The sequence below is a fragment of the Homo sapiens genome, chromosome 4 (assembly GCF_000001405.40).
Source record: "Homo sapiens chromosome 4, GRCh38.p14 Primary Assembly".
NCBI lineage: Eukaryota > Metazoa > Chordata > Mammalia > Primates > Hominidae > Homo > Homo sapiens.
In genome coordinates, this window is record NC_000004.12 from 3,406,728 (window position 1) to 3,427,691 (window position 20,964).

Sequence of the window (20,964 nt, forward strand, 5' to 3'; positions counted from 1 at the left end):
ATGAGGCCCTGCTCGGCCTGGGGGCAGGAGCAACAGAGGTGGGTGTGGCACCCCACCTCGGAAAGGGACCACCCCATGTGGTGGGCAGGCCGCCTCCAGGATGCCCACAGGTTGTTCAGAAATGTCTGTGAGTTGGCATATTTTGCTTGGTTGTAAAAATGTTCCTTATGGTTCACAGGTGGTCCAGTTTGGTATAGTTGCTTATTTCCTAACTAAATACATATTCCTGATAACACGCTGTTTGAGTGATCACCTGCTTATAAAAAGATAGGTTTTATATTTATGGGACTAAAAATTTTTTAATTTAAGTTACATGTGGAAAGAAGAGTTAAAAACTATACAAAAAGCCTACAAGTACTTTTTTTTCCTTTGCCACTGCTTGTTTAATAAAGCACAAATTGCTGAAGTGGAGTAGCGTGTTGGGAGGCCGGGGTTCCATCTGCAGTGTTTATGCCACGTGCAGTCACCTAGCTGTGCTCGGCCCGCCTTCAATAATTCAGGCTCCGTGGCGGCAGCAGCTGAGGGGCTGCTGTGAATTATGCATGCGTCTTCGGCAAGGCTTCGTGCGACGTCTCCTGTTGGCTTCCCATCCGTGAGCCTGCGTGCAGGCAGGGCAGAGCCGTCTTTGTCAGCCGTGTGCTGGGATCGCGGGAGAAACTGCAATAATTGGCCTCCTGGGAGTGTGAGCTCAGGAGCAATGTCCCTGTGTGGGACGCAGGCCTTTGCTCGGGGCCGCCCGGGCTCTGCCGGCTGACCCTGGTATGGACTCAGAGGGGTGGTTTGCAGTGCATGGTTGGAAGTATTTGGTTAAGTGGCATCACAGTGGCTCTTATCAGCTCTACCCAGGTAAAGTCCCTTGTCCCCATCTGCGTACCTTGTCGCGTTGTCAGGGGCACACTGACTTATGTGGTCTTCAGGTATGTTTGCCGCAGCGGGATTGTGTCGGGGATGAGGGGCCCATAGGGGTGCCTGTGCAGTGACGTGTTTCGTGATCTGACTTGGAGTTATGACTTAAAGAGTCAGAGTGTTTGAGGTTACGGTTTGGATGAGATAACAACGGGCCCGGGCCGTGTGTTACAGAACTAACTGCAAACTTTTCATCTTACGGTATTAACATTTGTAACGTAACCTACATGTTTGACCCACCAATATATACATGGCGGCTTTTCCAATTAGCAGCAAATCTAAACAGACTTTAAACTCTTTTTCACCAGGAAAGCATTTCTTTGACTCAGATGGGTCAGTCGAAAGAAAAAATCCCACAACAATACCGTAAACTGGACCGTGTTCTCTAAGGTGGTGTTGGGATGTGGGCTGTGTTTTGTGGATCTCTTTTCTTCTTTGGCTTAGATCACAAGTGTGGGTTTGACTCACGTGTTCAGCACCAGAGAATCAGGCAAGCCACTGCAAGCAGGCCAGTGAGTTACAGACGTGGTGGCATCCCTCCCGCGTTCTGGCCTTGGAGCTGGGGTCGGAATGGTGGCTTGTGCAAGGAATTTTATTTTAGGTGAGTGCTGCTCAGGGTTCAAGGTCAGGCCTTCTGTGACTGTGCACTATTTTCCACGTGACGAGAACAACTCCAGAGCACATGAAAGTGCTGTGAATTGTGAAATCCATAATTGAAAGTGAGTGTTAGAGAGGAGACGACTTTCCGTGTGTGTTGAGCCACGTAGCAAAGAAAAATGGTGCTCAGGGGGCTCTGCCTCGCACCTGGCTCTGCTGTGTTCCTCTGCAAGTCACCTGCATGAATTTTGTCCAGATGGAATCGTAAAAATTCACCAGGAGAGCTTATGATTGCAAGAATTCCGGGTGGACGTTTTCCGGTAGCCAGTTTTTGAAAAACGTGTGTGTTGCTGGAGATTCCACTGTCCTTTGCGAATCGCTGGACTCAGTGCCTGGACTCAGGAGGGTCCACGTGCCCAGCAGGTCCCGTCTGTGCCCTCGGGAAGCTGAGGAGCTGGGTCATGAGTTTTCTGTCCTGATCCTTAGGCAGGGGTGGCATGGGCAGCCGGGGCTGTGGCCCAGAGGCTTCTCTTTCCGGCTCCTCCAGGTAATGTGTCTGCTTCCTCTACTCTCCAGGCTCCTGTGCTTGAGTTGAGGCCCCCGCTTGCTGTGGCCTCACACTGGGAGGAATTACTGGAGCACAATTCCTATGTCAGCAGAAAGCTACAAAATGAGATTGTGTGAAGGGGGCGTGGCTCTCACCCCCAGCAGTGCTGGGAGCAATTGGCAAGGTGACGCCTCCTGTCTTTGCAATACCAGAGAAGAGCATGGACTGCAACCTCTTTCCCTTCCTTGGAAATGGTTTATTTGCAGCTAAAGCAACTCTCACTTGAGTGGGTCCTGGAGCCTGGGCAGGCCCAGGAGAGGGTCTGGCACCCACACCGCCCCCAAGCCATGCCTGCATCTGCTCTCTGCCGTGCTCCTCTGTACCCGAGGCTGTGCTCTCTCAGGAGGGTCTGCCATGTGGTTTCCTGTACACAGCATCTGCCTCTGCAGGACCCCAAGGGCAGGAGCAGGAGCACACTGGGGAGGGAATACAGATTCCCTGGGCGGGCACACCAGGCACAGGGGAGCCGAGCACACCAGACAGGTCATCATTTACTGTTTAAAATACAATCATGTTTCTTTCTTGATTAGACTTTTAAAGGGTCAGTTATTGATTTGTGAGTCTTAGAAAATAATTAGTATCTGCCAAAACTTTTGAACATGATGTTAGTCAATACACCAGTCATCTTTCACTCAGAATTTATATCAGTCACCATTCATTCATTCCACAAATACACCAGTGTGGGAATGGGGAGAGCAGCCCTGTGGGTAGCTGGTCCCATTGCTGAGGGAGGCGGCAAGGCCTAGGGAGTGGCCAGGGAACAGGGGAGGTGGGCCCGGGGGCTGGTGTGGGACTTCCACATGGTACCAGGGAGAGGCCCATCTCCCCTCCACCGGCAGCAAGGGAGGCAGACGGTTCACGTCACCGTGCTTGTGTGTTGGAATTGAAACACCTTTTGTTTGAGGAGCAAAAGCGTCAGCAACCGTGGGGGGTTGAGCTGTGCCAGCCACAGCGTGCAGTGGGGCAGCCTCCTTTCTGCCTCCCCTGTCTTCCCGTCCTGGTTCTTCCCAGGGCCCCTCAGCTGGGCCTCGCCTAGGCAGCCTCCAGGCCACCCTCCAGGCAGCCAGAGGGACCCTGCAGTCTCTTGCTCATCACTGTCCCCCAGGGTGAACTTCGTGCTGCTCCGTGCTGGCTCCCTGCTCTGCCCAGCTCAGCGTGGCTTGTCCTGTCATGGAAGTTCTCCCTTGCTCCCTGGAGGCCAGTTAACGTCTATTTCTCCCTCAGTTCTCAGCTAGCCTTTATTGTCTCAGGAAAAAAAGCTGGAGGAAAAATGTCATGGTGCTCATAATGCAGAAACTTCATTCATGAGGATTGCCTCATTTGTCAGCATAAAATATAGCAAGGTTAGCAACACTGCTGCCTCGAATTCTGGGCTCAAGCCATCCTCTGGAATAGCTGGGACCACAGGTGCCTGCTACCCTGCCCAGCTAATTTTTTAATTTATTTTCATTTTCTGTAGAGATAGGGTCTCACTGTGTTGCCCAGGCTGGTCTTAAACTCTTGGCCTCAAGTGATCATCCAGCCTGCATGATCTTATTTTTTAAATAGGTAGTATGTGCCCATGCACTGGAATGTACACAGAACAGGATCGGCCCCCGAGGCTGTTTCTGGTGCAGGGCGTGCCATTGTGTATTCTGTGCCTTTGGGGGGGCTGTCCAGCCAGCTCTGGTCTTCCGTCTCCCAGCACTGGGCGGGAGGTCCTACAGCTTCACCGTGGCTGATGAACGAAGTGCACCCCGGCAGCAGTAGCCGGCTCTGGGCATTTATACTTCATGTTTGATCAATATAATCAGAGGGGTTGATCTGCGTTTGCTCCTCCCAGCAGTGCAGAAGGTGCCTCTTGGCTCAGACTTCACTGCCATCGTGATCTTGGCCAGGAGGATGGCTACAAACAGCCTGAGGCTTAGGCTCATGGCTGGCGTTCTGTGATGAGGCCAGTGAACCTACGAGTGTCCGGGGGCCTCCTCCTACCTGGTGGCTGCCTGTACCCTTCTGTTTTCCTTTTGGCTTGTTGATGGTTTTCTTCTTGGCGTTTAGGTGCTCTGATGTAGAAAAGGGAGCCAGCCCGCCACCTGTGTGATGTGTGGCCGGTGCCCCACAGTTTCCTGTCCAGGGACTTGGCTGATGGTGCTTTTCCCTACTGAGATTTGCGCCTCTGTGCCGTGCACTGTATCAGTGTTGCCTTCGTGGCTCTGGGCTTCGTGTCTTCCTTCCGGAGGCTTTCCTCACTCCAATGTTTTAAAAGATCATCCCACATTTTCTTCTGGTATTTCTCTAATTTACACTTAAATCTTTGATTCATTGGGATTTGTTTCAGTGTGTGCTGGAAGGAAGAGATCCGACTAGATAGTTTTTCAGAGGTCATCTTCCCCGTGCACCCCACTCACTACCCTGACCGTGACTTAGACACTCAGGGTTTGTTTCTGTACTCTGTTGTGTCCTGCAGGTGACACCGATGCTGTCCCCTGCGTGTTCGGGATTGTGGTCTGTGTGTGTTCTCGTGTTAGGCCTGTCTGGCTCTGCGTGTTCGGGATTGTGGTCTGTGTGTGTTCTCGTGTTAGGCCTGTCTGGCTCTGCGTGTTCGGGATTGTGGTCTGTGTGTGTTCTCGTGTTAGGCTGGCCTGCTCTGGCGTCTTGCTCATCTTGTTTGTTCCCCTCATTTCTGCTTAGCTTTCCACGGGAGCTTTCACGCTCCACTTGTGTGGTTCTAACAAGACACCCATAGGCAAGTATCGGCGTGATATGTCCATTTAGGGAGAATTCCTGTCTGTGATGTTTTGCTCCTCACTTCCCTGGTGACAGGATATTAGGCAAGCACAAAGAGTCAGCCCACTCCAAGGACCCCTGCCCCAGAGAGAGTGAGTGTGCAAGTTGAGTGTGTGTGAGAGTTTCACACCTGGCTTACATGCAGAACGGGGCACTTGCCACATGGGGGGGAGTCTTGGATGTTGGGATTCTTTGAGGGAGCCTCACATGGCCCCTGTCCTTCTGTCCTTGGCCCCAGCCCTCCTGGCTTGGCCGCCCTGTCCTGCGTGTGAGCGCTGGTGCGCGTCTTCTTGCAGTGCGTGCCGCCCCTTCCACCGCAGCTCGGAGTCAGGGCTTCCGTGTGAGCCCCAGCCGCAGGCCTCTGAAACTTCAGTGCGTGCTGGCGGCCACCGCGGTCACACATTTGATCTATAACAGATCAACAGCATGGTGGATTCAAGGAAACATTACCACCGTGTTTCTGATCCTATCCCAGAACTTCCTTTCGGTCTTCTTTTAATTTTTTTCTATAGCAGTTTACATTATTTGATTATTCTTTAACATTTTCTTTTTTAATCTAAATGCTCTTCGCACTTTGAATGACTCCTGCCGAGCGTAGCCTCTGGCTGCCATGCTGACCATGAGGGACACTGTTGGATCAAAGCCCTGGTTTGGTCTCCTGGGCTCTAGGGCTCCACTTTTCTCTGGATTAGCGGGGCCCACGCTGTGGCCTCCTTGGAAGCCTCCTGCCAGGCCTCTGCCTGTCGCCTACAGCACGTCTGCAGACTGGGCTGAATCCATAAGGTTTAGTGTCGCTTCTGCCCCTGAGAGGAGTTGATGCTGCCTCACTGACCCCCTCCTGGTCTCTTTCTACCCCTGGCCCCTTGCTGATAATAAGATGTGTTCTATTTGCTGGCCTGGAGCTGGAGCCCATCAGCTCGTCCGCTGGGATCAGTCCTGTGGCCTTGACTTTACAGCAGTGCCAGCCTGGGCGGCTTATCCTGCGCACCGTGCCACAGGAGGCTGGTGAAGGGGCAGGAGGGGAACATAGCGTATTTTATTATGCTGCTGAGAACATTCTGTGAGGCTGCTCTGTCAGTCAGCTGCATTCCATAAAGCTGCAGCAGAAAACCAAGCCCAAAGCCCAGGGCTTCTTAACAACACAGGTTTAGTGGCCACCTTGTCACACGTCATCTGTGGTCAGCAGGGCATGGCTCAGCTGCAGGCTAAGGACAGCCCGTGTGGGACACCCTATGCTCACAGAGGAGACATACGTGCTCTGGCACGGTGGGCAGCGGTCCCTGAAGCTGGGCTCACACTGGCCCACATCCCTTCTTGGGCTCAGGCCAGGCCGGCCACTCTGGGACAGGGGCGCCCCCACACTGCTCACGTCAGGAGGGACGGGGGCGCCCCCACACTGCTCGCGTCAGGAGGGACGGGGGCGCCCCCACACTGCTCGCGTCAGGAGGGACGGGGGCGCCCCCACACTGCTCACGTCAGGAGGGACGGGGGCGCCCCCACACTGCTCGCGTCAGGAGGGACGGGGGCGCCCCCACACTGCTCGCGTCAGGAGGGACGGGGGCGCCCCCACACTGCTCGCGTCAGGAGGGACGGGGGCGCCCCCACACTGCTCGCATCCAGTGGACAAGGGTGATGAACGGGGATTTCCTGGGGACCTCCCTTCTCTTTATTCGAGAGCTCAGGAGATACTGGGAACCAAAGGCTACTGAGGGCCGTTTTGCAGACACGTCAGGCAGGATCCGGTGTCCTGGGAGCGCGCTGTGCCATATCCCACATCGGGTCTCCTGTAAATGAGCCGCCGAGCCGACATGCGTGGCTGAGGGCTTAGCTCTGGACACTGTGCCTGAGAGTTTCGTGTTGAGAAGGAGCCCACATGCAGAGCAGTGTGCAGTCACGGGTGTGTGGGCTTCGCATCCGGAAGGTGAGCCTCGTGCCCCCTTCGACTGAGCACGCTCCCGAGGGCACCGTGGGTCAGGACGTAACTCACGTGGCATACGCGGCGCCCCGCGCCCAGCTGCTTTCGCTCTAGCAAGCCTGTTTGGGAAACATCTTGTTGCCATGATGGTCTTAGTGCTCTGTGTGCACATGCTCCTGTGTAAGGTTAGTTGCTTTTCCTGTTCAACCCTGTGGCTGTAGTTTGTTGTTGCTTGGGCGAGTGTGCACGTGTGAGCATATGAGTGTGCGTGCAAGGGTGCTGTGTGGGCCTGCACATGTGAACATGTGTGTGTGCTCGTGCACACACATGTGCAGCCGCTCAAGGTTGGGGTCTGTGTTTTGTTCCCTGCTCCATCCCTGTGTGTAGAATGCACTGGCAGGTGGTAGGTGTGCTGTGCATAGTTGTTGACTGAATGGGTGTTGGAGGGGACAGAGCTTGCTGCGTGTCCCAGGGTCTCCTGTGGGCGGGCAGAGCAGTCACTGGGCCGGGGCGGAGGGCAGGGGTGCAGGTGCTGTCTGTGCTGGTCCCGCAGAGTTGACGGGCGCCGACCTGAAGGACTGCGTCAGCAACAACAGCCTGAGCAGCAATGCCAGCCTCCCCAGCGTGCAGAGCTGCCGGCGCCTGCGTGAGAGGAGGGTCGCCAGCTGGGCCGTGTCCTTTGAGCGCCTGCTGCAGGACCCCGTCGGTGTCCGCTACTTCTCTGTGAGTAGGGAAGGGCCCAGGAGCAGCGGAGCGGTCTGTGCTCTGCAGAGACTACCGAGCAGGATCTGTGGGCCGCCCTAGAGACAGCGGCACCCTGCGGGCCCTGAGCAGCCCCGTGGCAGGGGTCTCCCCTCCCTGGACCGCCACCCTCTCAAGAGCTCAGAGGAGGGTGGGTTGAATCCTGCCCCTGGTTCTGCCCCCAGGGAGCGTCCCTGGCCCTCCCGCTCTCTACTGGGGTCTCTCTGCAGCCCGCAGCACTGGAGCTTCCTATCTGTGTTAAGAAGCCAGGTGCCTGTTGCCAGCTCTTCAAAGAGATGTTTTGCTTTTGGGGAAACAGCTGGAAGCAGCAGTGCGGTTCCCTAAAGTGCTGGGCAGCGATGAGGTTTCTCTCTCCAGGCCCTCGGGCAGCTCACTGAGCAGCCAGTGACCCCGTGGTTTCTGTAGAAGGGGAAGTAGGAAAAAGGAGGACCCTGTGTCAGTGTTAATAAATGGTGTCTTTGTCTTTCTTAGGATTTTCTAAGGAAAGAATTCAGTGAAGAAAACATTTTATTCTGGCAGGCCTGTGAATATTTTAATCATGTTCCTGCACATGACAAAAAGGAGGTAAGTCCACGCTTGGGAAGTGGGGGCTGTGTGAGAGTGGCGTGTGAGAGAGACGCATGTGAGGGGTGTGTGAGAGGGCCACGTGTGTGAGGGGCATGTGAGGGGTGTGTGTGAGGGGCGTGAGAGGGGCGTGTGAGAGGTTGCGTGTGAGGGGCGTGTGAGGGGCGTGTGTGAGAGGGGCGTGTGAGAGGGACGTGTGAGAGGGCCACCTGTGTGTGAGGGGCGTGTGAGGTCGCGTGTGTGAGGGGCGTGTGAGAGGTCGCGTGTGAGAGGGCCGCGTGTGTGTGAGGGGCGTGTGTGAGAGGGCCGCGTGTGTGTGAGGGGCGTGTGTGATAGGGCCGCGTGTGAGAGGGCCGCGTGTGTGTGAGAGGGCCGCGTGGCCTCATTGGAGGCTGGCTCGGTGCAGGGAGCATCTAGAGCAGTTGGAAAGTGGATGATAAAATATTTTCACATGGCTTGAAAAAAATCATTTCTTTTTCAGAATAAATTTTTAAATATACATGATATTTAATTTTGCCTAAACCTGGTTTGTATAACGCCCTCAGCCACAGCTTTCACAGCAGATGGGGTGTCTTTCAGTGTGCTGGAATTCTGAGGAAGGAACGTGTATTTAGGGGAATTTGAAAGCAAATTGGAGGCAGGAGGGCATCCCGGGCCGTGCTTTCGCAGCTCCTCCTGCGCCTCGTGGGAGGTGCAGGAGAAGCCTGGGAGAGACGCCTTGGCCTGGCCCGGCCTGGCTGCTGTTTCCTCAGTTGGCCTGTGGCCTGGCTTCCAGGCTTCGGGGCTGCTTTCGTCTGCTCGCAATGCTCAGAGGGCGCTGCTCTCCTGCACTCCCACCTTGCCAAGACCAGGTGTGTGGCGACACACGGCAGTATTGCCCCTGCGCAGCTGCTGCTGGGCTAGCATCGCCCGGGTCTTTGGGACACTTTAAGTATCCGTTTAAACAATCGTAGAGGAGCCCGCGCAGTGCTGCTGCATTCTGGCCACACTTTTATTTATTTATTCAAGCAAGAGGTATTTACTGGGGCCCGTGAGAACACATCTGTAGAGCCCGGGGGTGTCGGGCCTTGGCAGGCAGCAGGAGTGCGGGGAGAGGAAGCCTTGCCGGGCTGCTCAGGTGCCTTTCCTGTCAGCTTTCCTACAGGGCCCGGGAGATTTTCAGTAAGTTTCTCTGCAGCAAAGCCACCACCCCGGTCAACATCGACAGCCAGGCCCAGCTAGCAGACGACGTCCTCCGCGCACCTCACCCAGACATGTTCAAGGAGCAGCAGCTGCAGGTAACCGCAGGCTGTGGGAGCTTGTGGGGAGTCCAGGCTAGGGCTCGGGGTATAGGGTCCACCTTCAAAGAACACGTGCTATCAGGCAGGCCAGTGGATCGAGAGCATCACAGACGCAGGTAGAGAAACGCAGACAGAAAGTGGGGCTTTCAGTAGGGTAGAGAAACGCAGACAGAAAGTGGGGCTTTCAGTAGGGCCATGAAATAAGTCCCGAACCACTGCGTGTCTGTCTGCAATGAGCCGGCTGTTCACGCTGGCTCATGTTTCGATCCTGTGCGTGTGTGGAATCACACCTGCCTGGGGGATGGCGCATCTGCGTTTGAAGTTTTGCATCGTAGGACATTGCTGTGGTCATGGGCATTAGGCCCCAGGCTATTCGAGACGTGCCTGTGCATGTCGCTGCGGCACGTGGGTCACGTTCACAGAAGCATAGGGTGGCATTTTCAAAGCAGTCTACTGTAAGATTTCTAGTCGCTTTTGGTTTTAATCTTATTTAACAAAATAAAAGTTCTCTGGGGTCTGCTCGTGTTGATGGCTTCTGTAAGTTGTCAGGATTCACTTAATTTTAAGAGTGATAAAGGCTGGTTCGTTATGAGAAAGAAGACTCAGATATAGAGGCACACTGGAAATAACTCTTAAGTACCCTCAGGGCTGGCGGGGGAAAATGGACTGAAACGATGTCCTTTCAGGACAGGGCCAGTGGTTGCCTACAGGTCGCCAAGCAGCCTCGCGCCTGAGGCTGCATGTCTGGGTCCCTCCTGTGACTGTCCCACCTTACATCTTCTCCCCAGATCTTCAATCTCATGAAGTTTGATAGCTACACTCGCTTTCTGAAGTCCCCGCTGTACCAGGAATGCATCCTGGCGGAAGTGGAGGGCCGTGCACTCCCGGACTCGCAGCAGGTCCCCAGCAGCCCGGCTTCCAAGCACAGCCTCGGTTCAGACCACTCCAGTGTGTCCACGCCAAAAAAGGTGACCTCCCCGAGGCTGGCCTCACGCCCCTGTGGGTTGTGTGTCATCAGCTGAGAGCTGTTCTGTGGGGAGTGAAAAGAGGCCCTGTCGGCGTCTTCACCAGTGGTGGGTGACGCTCCATGCTGGAAAGTTCCAGCTGCTGTCTGGAGTCCTGTCAGGGCCACACCATGACCTGTAGAAGTGATACCATCCCATAGAGTGCTTGTGTTTACAGCTCAGTATTGCCTCCTTTGCACTTAACGTAATAGTAAAATAACTTCACATTGTTTTAACCAAGGTTTCCATTTGATGACAGTTAAGTGGAAAATCAAAATCCGGCCGATCCCTGAATGAAGAGCTGGGGGATGAGGACAGCGAGAAGAAGCGGAAAGGCGCGTTTTTCTCGTGGTCGCGGACCAGGAGCACCGGGAGGTCCCAGAAAAAGAGGGAGCACGGGGACCACGCAGACGGTTTGTGGGGTGGCTCCTGGGCTGTGGTGTCCAGGCCAGGCAGCCGCGTCCCCGTCCTGGCGTCGCTCTGGTGGTTGGCGGTGACCTTGGGCCATGTGTGCAGTGAGAGGCCCTGTTGGCGGGTCGAGGAAGCTTCTCTGAATGAATAAGGAATGCCGCTGTGTCTGGGGACACGACCTGTCAGCCAGCCAGAGGGCAGCAGGGCTGCTCCAGAATCTTCCAGAGAAAAGGGCTCAATACATTTCAGCCCATGCCTACCTCAGGCCTACCCCACACAGTGGCGGCTGAACATCTGTGTCCTCTCCTGCTTTTCACTATCCAAGTAATAGGTGTTTTTGGTAGAAAATTTGGAAAATACAATCAAGTAAAAATAGGAACACACAAATGTGCTATTGGGTGTCTCCCCCAGTGGCAGCTTGGTTCTCTGCCAGGGCTTTTTCCTAGGTAGATGTCAGGGTCCATGTGCCTTTTACATGTGTGTGGTTTTTTAAAATGTAGTAGCATAGTTGGAGTAGTGAGCATTTTTCAAGTTAAGATTGGTATTTGATATTGGGGGCTGCCCATTCTGGATGCTCTGTCCCTTTTTTCTTCGCACATCTGAGACTTCCTGTAACAAAAGTTAGGCAGAGAGACGGCTCCCAGGGCGCCAGGGGGTGGGGCTGCAGGGCCCTTGGCGGCTCCTGGCCGAGCTCCAGACACCAGCCGGGTGGTTTTGGCAGGTGGCAGGGCAGAGGGCATGGAGATGCCCATGCTGAACGCTGGCGAAGATGAGGCTGTTCTGTACCAGGTGCTGAAAAGCACATAGGGGAGAACTGGGAAGATTTTCTTCTCTAGAGATTTTTGGGAAAGGGATTAGTTTTCAGGAATGAGTGTCCTGCCTGAAGGCAGGGGACTGGCACTTAGCCTGTGGTCTCCAAGTTTAAATCAGGCAGTGAGGTGATTGCGATAGCACCAGCTGGCATGGCCCTGGTGGAGGCAGGTGAGCAGGGTGCTCTGCGCTCCGTGGCTGCGGCTCCTGTGTGTGCCCTGCAGTGCCAAGCATTTGTGCGTGGCTGCTCCCCGCCTGCAGGGGGAAGCGTTGTTCCCGGGGCGCTGAAGGACGCGCTGGTGAGGGCTTGACGTGGGCAGCCCTGAGCTTCTGGCCATGCTGTGAGGTGCTCTTCTCCGAGCAAAGGCAGCTGAGAGTTGCAGAGTTCACCTTTGTCGGAGGCCACCTGGGAGATGGACACTATGTTATTAGGTGGGGCCAGGCCTCCCGAGTACCTGGGAGATGGGAGTGTTCGCTTCAGACAGTCCATCCACTCGTGCCCATCCCCATACCTGGCAGATCTGCAAAGGGCTTTGAAAACCTTGATAGAGCCAGGCGTGGGAGCTCACGCCTGTAATCCCAGCACTTTGGGAGGCCGAGGCAGGCGGATTGCCTGAGCTCAGGAGTTGGTGACCAGCCTGGGCAACATGGTAAGGCTCTACTAAAAATCCAAAAAAAAAAAAAAAAAAAAAAATTAGGGGCCAGGCACGGTGGCTCATGCCTGTAATCCCATCACTTTGGGAGGCTGAGGTGGGCAGATCAACTGAGGTCAGAAGTTCGAGACCAGCCTGGCCAACATGATGAAACCCCGTCTCTACTAAAAATACAAAAATTAGCCAGATGTGATGGCACATGCCTGTAATCCCAGCTACTCAGGAGGCTGAGACAGGAGAATTAGTTGAACCCGGGAGGTGGAGGTTGCAGTGAGCTGAGATTGTGCCATTGAACTCCAGCCTGGGCAACAGAGCGAGACTCCGTCTCAAAAAAAAAAAAAAAATTAGCTGGGTGTGATGGTGGGTACTTTCAGTCCCAGTTACTTGGGAGGCTGAGGCATGAGAATCGCTTGAACCCGGGAGGCAGAGGTTGCAGTGAGTGGAGAACTACACTCCAGTTTGTGTGACAGAACAAGACTGTCTCAAAATAAATAAATAAATAAATAAATGAAAGCAAACCTTGATAGCAGTGGCGCCTGGTGGCTCATGCCTTTAAATCCCAGCGCTTTGGCGGTGGGGCGAGGTGTGAGGATCGTTTGAGTCTAGGAGTTCAATACCAGCCTGGGCAACACAGCAAGACACTCATCTCTACAAAAAAAAATTAAAAATTAGCCAAGTGTGGTGGCGCACCTGTTGCCCTAGCTACTGGGGAGGCTGAGGTGGGAAGAAAATTGCTTGGGTCCTGGAGTTGGAGGCTGCAGTGAGCTATGATTGTGCCACTGTACTCCAGCCTGGGGGACACAGCGACGCTCTGTCTCTAAAAAACACAAAGCCAACCAAAAAATAAAACCCAGACTGCAGGCACCCCCAGAAGTAACACATTCTGATCTTGGCCCAGGATGTGGCCTGGGCATCTGTTCCTGTGGAAGGTGGCTGCAGTCTGCAGGCCAGTAGGTCTGGGAGCTGCCTTCCCCTCTCTCCTCAGGCCCCAGAGCCCATGTGCAGCGGTGTGGTTTGGGAGCAGGTGCTGTTTGAAAAGTCCTGTGTCCGAATTTTCATGATTTGTAGGTTAGCCTAAGAATATAGTTAGTTGAGGTTGGTGAAAATTGACACTTCATTACGGTTCATGTCAGGACGTCAGAGGAAAAGGACGTGGACCGAGTGGGTCTGGAGGCCGCATCCGGCTGAGAGCGCTGGCTGTTGCCACAGTTGGGGGTTTCCAGTTAGGCCCAGAAACTACATTTGGGGATGAAAGCTCCAGATGGAATGGAGGAAAGGCCCTTACCGGGACATGCACCTGGGTCTGTGCTGTGTAACTGCACGTACTGATGTGATTTGTTGGGCACCTGCCATGAGCCAAGCATGTTTTGGAGCCAGGATGTGGCAGTAGACAGGGCAGAGAGTAGCATCTCTGCTGCATGGTGGGTAGAGCCTTGTTGGTCCCTGACTGGCTTCCAGGGTTAGGAAGACACATGTGACTCGTCTCCACCAGAGACGGCAAAGTGATGCCTGGTGGGGGATGGGTGGGGGGGGCTTCCTGGCGTCTGTCTGCTCAGCCTAAAGGGGGCAGAGGGTTGGGAGATGTGACCGAATAAACAGGGTTCTGATTGACGTGAGTCACTGTGTTTCCCCTGTCAAGACGCCCTGCATGCCAATGGAGGCCTGTGTCGCCGAGAGTCGCAGGGCTCTGTGTCCTCTGCGGGGAGCCTGGACCTGGTGAGTCACTGTCTCCCCTCGTCCCACAGGCCTCAGGGGTGTCCCCACCAGCTGACTGATGACACCTCTCTCCCATGGAAACCTGTGTTTACAAAACTCAGCGTTCACTTTGTAAAGCTGGGGGACAAGGCTCGGGTGCCGGCCCAGGCACAGTGGCAAAGTGCAGGGTGGCCCAGTGCCCCATCAGGCCCCGGCCTCATGGTCCCCCAGCCTAGGGCTCCTGAGAGGGCACGAAAAACTATTAGTTATACGAGGGAGGGAACTCAAAGTATCTTTGGATTTATTTCTTAAGTCTTTTTGTTGTAATTTAGTTTTTGTGAACTCCCACTAAGAATCAACAGAAGGTGTCGAAATCAGGCGCTCCCTGTCTCAGCGCGTGAGCATCCCACCCACTCCCACACTGCAGGATTTACCCCTCTGCCTGCGGGCCGCCTGTCTCACCCACACCCTCTCACACCTGCTCACTGCTTGGCTGGTGCTCGTCCTGGCCCCAGTTTCCAGCAGATGAGGGAGATGAGCAGGCGCAGGCAGGACTCGTGAGCTTGTTAGATGTTGTTTGATAGGAATTTTGGAAAACCTCACTGGTTGCCAGCATCCTGGTCATTTGAAATTTTCAGGCAGGAATGAATGTAGAATATAATTTCTTCTTCAGTTGTTCCAAATAACATTGAAAGCTGTAAGGATTTACCAGGTATCAGTTAGCTCTTGTTGCCTAATACCTCCGCACCCCCAAACTCAGAGGCTGGAAACAATTACTGTTGTGCTGGGTGTCTGGGTCGCCTGGGTGGTTCTGCCCATTCTGGCCGGCCTTGCCGTGTGTTTCTGGTTACCTGGCACGTGAGCCAGCTGGCTGGTCCCAGAGGCCCTCAGTTGCATGGCTGGCCCTTGGCTGGGGAAGGAGCACTGACAGGACCCTTCGTTCGCCTCACTCAGCGGAGGCCAGTTCACCCCGTCCCACAGCCGGCTCAGGGACCCTGACAGTGAGCAGAGTAAGGACGGCCTCTGGAGGCCCAGGCTTGGAGCCGCTCCTTCTGCCCACCCAGGTCTGGGCTGGGGCTGACTCCACCTCTTCATGGGAGGAGCCACAGAGCCGCATTATGAGGGGCACAGATACAGGGAAGGGGATGGTTGGGAACCACTTGTGCAGCCAGCCTACCACTGTACAAACTAGTTTCCTGAAATAATGCTCAGGGAAAAGAGACCTCAGACTACCGGAAGGCAGTGCCGACGAAGTCACAGTCCAGGCGACGTTTCCATTGGAACGATGTGCATGGGGAGCTGTGTATAGAGAGGACAGGGTGCTGGAACCCAGAGCCCTGGGAGGGAGTGGTCCTCACAGGGCAGCTTCAGTGGGCCCCGCAGGACAGCCCTGCTTCTGGGTGGAGAAGCCCAGATGTGCCTTCTGAGCACGATGGCCCTTGAGGCCCAGAGCTGAGAGAATGATGACCGCTCTCTCGTGTTAATTCACAAAACCCAGCACCTCAGGCAGTGTGGACTGAGCCTGAGATGTGTGCACCTGGGGAGCTGCAGGTGGGACCGTGGCAGGGCGCCAGCCTCCCCAGCACGTGCGGCCTGGGCCAGCTGGGCTGCTCTGGGAGGTGCCCCGCACCCCTGTGACGCTGGTTCCCTCACGGCTGCTTGTCTCGCTGCTCCCCAGTCGGAGGCCTGCAGGACTTTGGCACCCGAGAAGGACAAGGCCACCAAGCACTGCTGCATTCATCTCCCGGATGGGACATCCTGCGTGGTGGCTGTCAAGGCGGGCTTCTCCATCAAAGACATCCTGTCCGGACTCTGTGAGCGGCATGGCATCAACGGGGCGGCCGCGGACCTCTTCCTGGTGGGCGGGGACAAGGTACTGGGCCCGCCTGACCCTCGTGCTGCCCTCAGGCCATGACCTCCCCGCTCCCTGGCCCCCAGCTTTGTCAGAGTCCTCAGGCTGCCCCCTCCTGCGCTCCTCATTTCAACAGCGCCTGGGGCGGAGGCCGGATTATCTGAACTGAGCTATCTGCTGGGAGCACTTTGCACGTGGGTGCTGGGTTGGTGTGGAAAGGGTGATCGCTTTCTTTGGATGGCTGTTTTTGAAGCTGCTCTTCTGCTCTGCACAGCTGTGTGCCTGGGGCACGTGGGTCTGCGTTTGGGGGGCTGCCTGCTGTGCCCACGTTGATTCTGGTCTCTCTGTTCCTCAGCCTCTGGTGCTGCACCAAGACAGTAGCATCTTGGAGTCAAGGGACCTGCGCCTAGAAAAGCGCACCTTGTTTCGGTAAGAGGAAGATCGCTGTCATTCACCTGAGGCTCCCAGAGCCAACCCCGTGTGCCCACCACCTGCTGGTCTCTGCGCTTAGCGGGCGGCCTGTGGATGCTCCATGCTGGGCTACGATGGGGTGTCGGGGCGGGGGGAGGGTGGAGGCCCACACGAGGCAGCCCCCCTACAAGCCCGGGGGTGAGAGGCGCCCTCTCCTCCCTGTCCCGTGAACAGGGACTGCCCTGGCCTGGTGAGCCCAGCCCCCTAAGATGCCGAGAGGGAGGGGCAGGAGTGCTCTCTGTAGGGTGGATGCCCCACAGGTAGCCAGGCTGCTGTGCAGGACACTGCTATCCCTGGAGGAGGAGACCATAGCCCTTGCTTGGCCTGACTTTTCCCACGTGGAGGAAGGCACGTTCTGATCAGCTGGGGCTGAACTGGGGGGCACACCGAGGCCTTGAGGGCGGCCTGGGGCTGTGCTGTAGTTCTGCTCGTGAGACTGATCTCCTAATGAGGGCTGACATGAGTTGGTAGTGAATTTTTTCATCCCCCACCAGGCTGGATCTTGTTCCGATTAACCGGTCAGTGGGACTCAAGGCCAAGCCCACCAAGCCCGTCACGGAGGTGCTGCGGCCCGTGGTGGCCAGATACGGCCTGGACCTCAGTGGCCTGCTGGTGAGGCTGGTGAGTGTTGCACGGGGCCCGGGCGTCGTCACCGCAGGCACTGTCTGTTCCCTTTGGCAGCCTCTGTGTTGTTCACTGAAGAGGGCACACCAAGAAGCGGTGTCTTCCCCTGATCTGGTTGTCCCCCTTGGAGGAGAGGAGACAGCCTCTGCCATCCCCAGTTCTCGTTCTGTGCAGTGGGAGCCATCATGGTTTATTTGTACCTTGGTCATTCCAAAAAGAATTGATATTTGAGAGGTGGTTTTGCTCCAGGGAGGCCAAAATGAGAAACAAAGCAACCAACCCTGGACTATCCTCCGCTGTTGGCCAATGTGATCAGATAAGAGAGTGCGGATGGCCCTGCCCCCACTGCACCTGCTGGGCCCGGGCATTGTGCTCATGCCCCCAGTGCACGGTCACATGGAGATGTCCTGATTCTCACCTGCACTTTGTAGATGGAAGAACTCAGCTGGCATTTCCAGGCTGCGCCATTATGATGTGAATGGGGTTAAGAAAGAAAACACCGCGTGGGGTGGTGACCGCAGGTGCTGGGCAGGCCACGCGAGATGGCGAGAGCTGGGCCCCGCTGAGGGTGCTCTGGAGCGTGGGGGTTCCGGGCACAGTGTCTGCCTAGTCTTCTTTCCTTGAAAACTTTATTGGAGCAATGATTTCAAGTATTTTCAGGATTTTAGTTTTCCCTGAAACTACACTCAAAATTATTCAAGAGCTTTGAAGTGAACAAGAAGAACCTATTAAATTATTTACAGACACCACCTCCGAGGGTAACCTGAAGCCTCTTCCCCGCGCTGCAGGCTCCATCCTGGAGTCCAGAAATCTGCAGGTGGGAGACAGACCTGGCCTGGCTCCCAGGTGTGCCCCTCTGGCCGACTCTGGGGAGACGCTGCGCAATTGTTTAGCCCCTGTGTGTCACAGTTTCCCTGACTGTAAAATGGGGTTGGTCGTGGCAGCGTGCTCGTGGCATGGTTGGGGGGCACCAGGGTGGAAGGGCTGGCTGCGGTCAGGCTCGTTCCCTGTGAGCTGCGGCCCTCGGCTGCCGAGGCTGTGGGGGCTATGGAGGATTCGTGTGGAATGGGTTGTTTGGGATGTGGCTTTTCCTTGGACGCTGTCTCCTGACCTCTCCAGTGAATTCTGTGGCCCCCTGTGTCCACGAATGTGGTGGAGAAGGCGGGACCTGGGGCAGTTCCTCTGCTTCCCCCGCAGGGCCCACCACGCCTGCCCAGCGGACCAGCCCCTTCAGGAGCTTAGAGCCTCTCCCGCCTGGCATTGGACAGCTGTCATTCCCCTGACTGACAGATCGTGAATGCCAAACATGTTCAGATGTCTTTTCTTAACAGTGACTATGGCAGGTGAAGAGTCAGATTCTCTGCCAGAGGAGAGCTCTGATGCAGAGACAAGAACTCCAGCCCGGTGGCTAGTGGCGCTTCATTTCAGCCTCAAACCTGGTCCTAAAGTTGTCTGTCTTTGCTTCCTTGTTTACAAAGGGGAACATCTGCTCTCAGTATTCCCCTCATAGCAGTTTCGAGGGTCAGTATTTCCCTCATAGCAGCGTCCGAGGGTCAGTGTTCCCCTTGTAGCAGCGACCAAGGGTTGCCACCTCCTGCGTGATTCCATCGAGCTTAGGATGGTCGTGTAGTCGGGACCCATGTCAGGAGCATGGCTCAGCCCCAGCTTGTGTGCCTCAGTCAGGCAGGCCTCACCTCGGGGCCATCTCCTGCGTGACTCCATCAAGCCTAGGACAGTCATGCAGTCGGGTGGGATCACACACATCTGTTCCCTGAAGTTCCAGTCTGGGTAAATTATTCAGTGCTGATCTCTGCCCTAGAGTGGAGAGAAGGAGCCCCTGGACCTTGGCGCCCCTATATCGAGTCTGGACGGACAGCGGGTTGTCTTGGAGGAGAAGGATCCTTCCAGAGGAAAGGGTGAGTAGGGCTGGTGCAGCGGATGGGGAGAGGGTGAGTGGGTCCAGTGCAGGGGAGGGGGCTATGGAGCCGGTGCAGGGGAGGGGGTGAGTGGGGCCAGTGCAGGGGAGGGGCAGGTGGGGCTTGCGCAGGAGAGGGGGTGGGCGGGGCCTGCACAGAGTAGAGGGTAAGTGGGGCCAGCGCAGGGGAGGGGGCTGTGGCGTTGGCATAGGGGAGAGGGTGAGCGGGGCCAGTGCAGGGGAGGGGGCTGTGGCGTTGGCATAGGGGAGAGGGCGAGCGGGGCCAGTGCAGGGGAGGGGGCTGTGGCGTTGGCATAGGGGAGAGGGTGAGCGGGGCCAGTGCAGGGGAGGGGGCTGTGGAGTTGGCACAGGGGAGAGGGCGAGTGGGGCCAGCGCAGGGGAGGGGGCTGTGGGGCCTGCACAGGGTAGGGGGCAGGGGTTGGCATAGGGGAGAGGGTGAGCGGGGCCAGTGCAGGGGAGGGGGCTGTGGAGTTGGCACAGGGGAGAGGGCGAGCGGGGCCAGTGCAGGGGAGGGGGCTGTGGGGTTGGCATAGGGGAGAGGGCGAGTGGGGCCAGTGCAGGGGAGGGGGCTGTGGGGTTGGCATAGGGGAGAGGGCGAGTGGGGCCAGTGCAGGGGAGGGGGCTGTGGGGTTGGCATAGGGGAGAGGGCGAGTGGGGCCAGTGCAGGGGAGGGGGCTGTGGGGTTGGCATAGGGGAGAGGGCGAGCGGGGCCAGTGCAGGGGAGGGGGTGAGTGGGGCTTGTGCAGGAGAGAGGGCAGGCGGGGCTGGCCCAGGGGAGGGGGAGGCTTTGGAGTTAGTACACAAAAGAGAATTGGTCTGGGCCCCCTGGTCCCTCCTTGGTGCCCTGATCTGGCGCCCTTCCCTCCAGGCACAAAACAGGAAGCCAGGGCAGTAGGCGCCTGTGCTCTGCCCGGCAAAATGGAGGCTGCAGGCTCGGTCATTTGGGCTGGTTCTGCAGTTCCTTGCGTGCAGGGAATCGGGCGGTCGACAGAGCTCTTTCCAACGTGTTGCCTTGGTCATGACAGTCCTGCCCTGGGGAAGCTGGGTCCGGCCAGCAGCCTTCGGAGATGGGCTCGTCGCCCGGCCCCCACCTCATCCTGACGCGCAGGAGCCGGCCCTCCTTAGAGCCCTTGTTGAGAACCGTGCGTGAGGAAGGTTACTCAGACCCAGGAGGGTGGGTCCTGTTTGTAGCTGTCCCCAGGGACAGGCAGAGGCGTGGCCTTGGGGCCTGCAGGTGCAGGTGCCGTAGGGAGGTGTGTCTTGGAAAGAGCTTTCTGGAAACCCACCTGCAGATGTTCTAGGTAGAGAGCTCACTTTGTGAGGAGCCACTTCAGGTGACATTGGGCTGCCCCTCTGCCTTTCAGGTTGTTGGCCCTGATGATGTCACGCAGGGAGCACGTGGCTCACTTGTCCCCACCCAGGGAGACCTGGGCCATGGGTCCCAGTCAGAAGCAAGCGCTGAGGCCATTAGTCCTGGAGCTCCAACTCTTGCTCCCCTCCCCAACTCCTCACAGAGCAGAGACCCTTCCCCGAGCCCACCCTTTGCTCTAGGGAAAGCCTTACGCTGGGCCCTGACACCCACCCAGGCAGGTGGGGCAGGCACAGCATGTGTAACCCAGCAGGGCGGCCAGCAGCTTTGCCCCGGCTGACCCTCTGTGCCCAGGGCCTGCTGGGCCTCGGGGCTTGTTTGTGTACAGGCAAGTCCTGTGGTGGAGCTTGGCGCTCAGCGTTTTTGTAGGGCTGTATGTGGGGCAGGAGCGCGACTCCTCCAGTCACATTTGGGCCACAGAAATGGGCTTGAGGCCGTTAGTGCCAGCAGAGGCCAGCCTGTGGCCCTGGCATGGGGCAAAGGCTGTATTTGAAAATATGTCATGGACTGGCACAGTGGCTCATGCCTGTAATCCCAGCACTTTTGGAGGCCAAGGTGGGTGGATCACCTGAGGTCAGGAGTTCGAAACCAGCCTGGCCAGCATGGTGAAACCTCGTTTCTACTAAAAATACAAAAATTAGCTGGGTGTGGTGGCACATGCCTGTAATCCCAGCTACATGGGAGGCTGAGGCAGGAGAATTGCTTGAACCCAGGATGCGGGGGTTGCAGTGAGCCGAGATCG

The 20,964-nt window shown here is 56.4% G+C and overlaps 1 protein-coding gene across 19 annotated transcripts in view, besides 5 other annotated features; it reads left to right on the top strand.

Moving 5' to 3' along the window:
- RGS12 (regulator of G protein signaling 12) overlaps positions 1 to 20,964 on the top strand; it is a 154,023-nt gene that overhangs the window by 120,837 nt on the left and 12,222 nt on the right. For 17 of the 19 annotated variants that reach the window (NM_001394155.1, NM_001394154.1, XM_011513543.3 and 14 more), the window contains 10 exons: positions 7,345 to 7,514; positions 8,025 to 8,117; positions 9,251 to 9,394; positions 10,186 to 10,365; positions 10,661 to 10,814; positions 13,915 to 13,991; positions 15,649 to 15,843; positions 16,178 to 16,251; positions 16,788 to 16,914; positions 18,737 to 18,833. In NM_001394155.1, the coding sequence (NP_001381084.1) occupies positions 7,345 to 7,514; positions 8,025 to 8,117; positions 9,251 to 9,394; positions 10,186 to 10,365; positions 10,661 to 10,814; positions 13,915 to 13,991; positions 15,649 to 15,843; positions 16,178 to 16,251; positions 16,788 to 16,914; positions 18,737 to 18,833 (1,311 nt within the window). Of the gene's footprint in view, positions 1 to 7,344; positions 7,515 to 8,024; positions 8,118 to 9,250; positions 9,395 to 10,185; positions 10,366 to 10,642; positions 10,815 to 13,914; positions 13,992 to 15,648; positions 15,844 to 16,177; positions 16,252 to 16,787; positions 16,915 to 18,736; positions 18,834 to 19,878; positions 19,996 to 20,964 lie in introns of those variants that run through there. The other 2 variants (NM_001394157.1, XM_047416056.1) reach the window with 2 other exon arrangements.
- Positions 2,621 to 3,528: an enhancer, noted in NCBI's record as "H3K4me1 hESC enhancer chr4:3411075-3411982 (GRCh37/hg19 assembly coordinates)". NCBI's record gives its function as "activates a minimal SCP1, AML or CMV promoter by ChIP-STARR-seq in naive H9 embryonic stem cells {active_cell/tissue: H9 hESC(naive)}" and the evidence as "EXISTENCE:reporter gene assay evidence [ECO:0000049][PMID:30033119]".
- Positions 9,356 to 10,555: an enhancer, noted in NCBI's record as "MED14-independent group 3 enhancer chr4:3417810-3419009 (GRCh37/hg19 assembly coordinates)". NCBI's record gives its function as "activates an origin of replication core promoter dependent on BRD2, BRD4, P300/CBP and CDK7 cofactors, and independent of MED14, by STARR-seq in HCT116 cells {active_cell/tissue: HCT116}" and the evidence as "EXISTENCE:reporter gene assay evidence [ECO:0000049][PMID:35650434]".
- Positions 13,691 to 14,192: an enhancer, noted in NCBI's record as "H3K4me1 hESC enhancer chr4:3422145-3422646 (GRCh37/hg19 assembly coordinates)". NCBI's record gives its function as "activates a minimal SCP1, AML or CMV promoter by ChIP-STARR-seq in naive H9 embryonic stem cells {active_cell/tissue: H9 hESC(naive)}" and the evidence as "EXISTENCE:reporter gene assay evidence [ECO:0000049][PMID:30033119]".
- Positions 17,459 to 17,958: an enhancer, noted in NCBI's record as "H3K4me1 hESC enhancer chr4:3425913-3426412 (GRCh37/hg19 assembly coordinates)". NCBI's record gives its function as "activates a minimal SCP1, AML or CMV promoter by ChIP-STARR-seq in naive H9 embryonic stem cells {active_cell/tissue: H9 hESC(naive)}" and the evidence as "EXISTENCE:reporter gene assay evidence [ECO:0000049][PMID:30033119]".
- Positions 17,714 to 17,865: a silencer, noted in NCBI's record as "fragment chr4:3426168-3426319 (GRCh37/hg19 assembly coordinates)". NCBI's record gives its function as "represses an EF-1alpha promoter that drives an FKBP-Casp9 reporter gene in an ReSE screen in K562 erythroleukemia cells {active_cell/tissue: K562}" and the evidence as "EXISTENCE:reporter gene assay evidence [ECO:0000049][PMID:32094911]".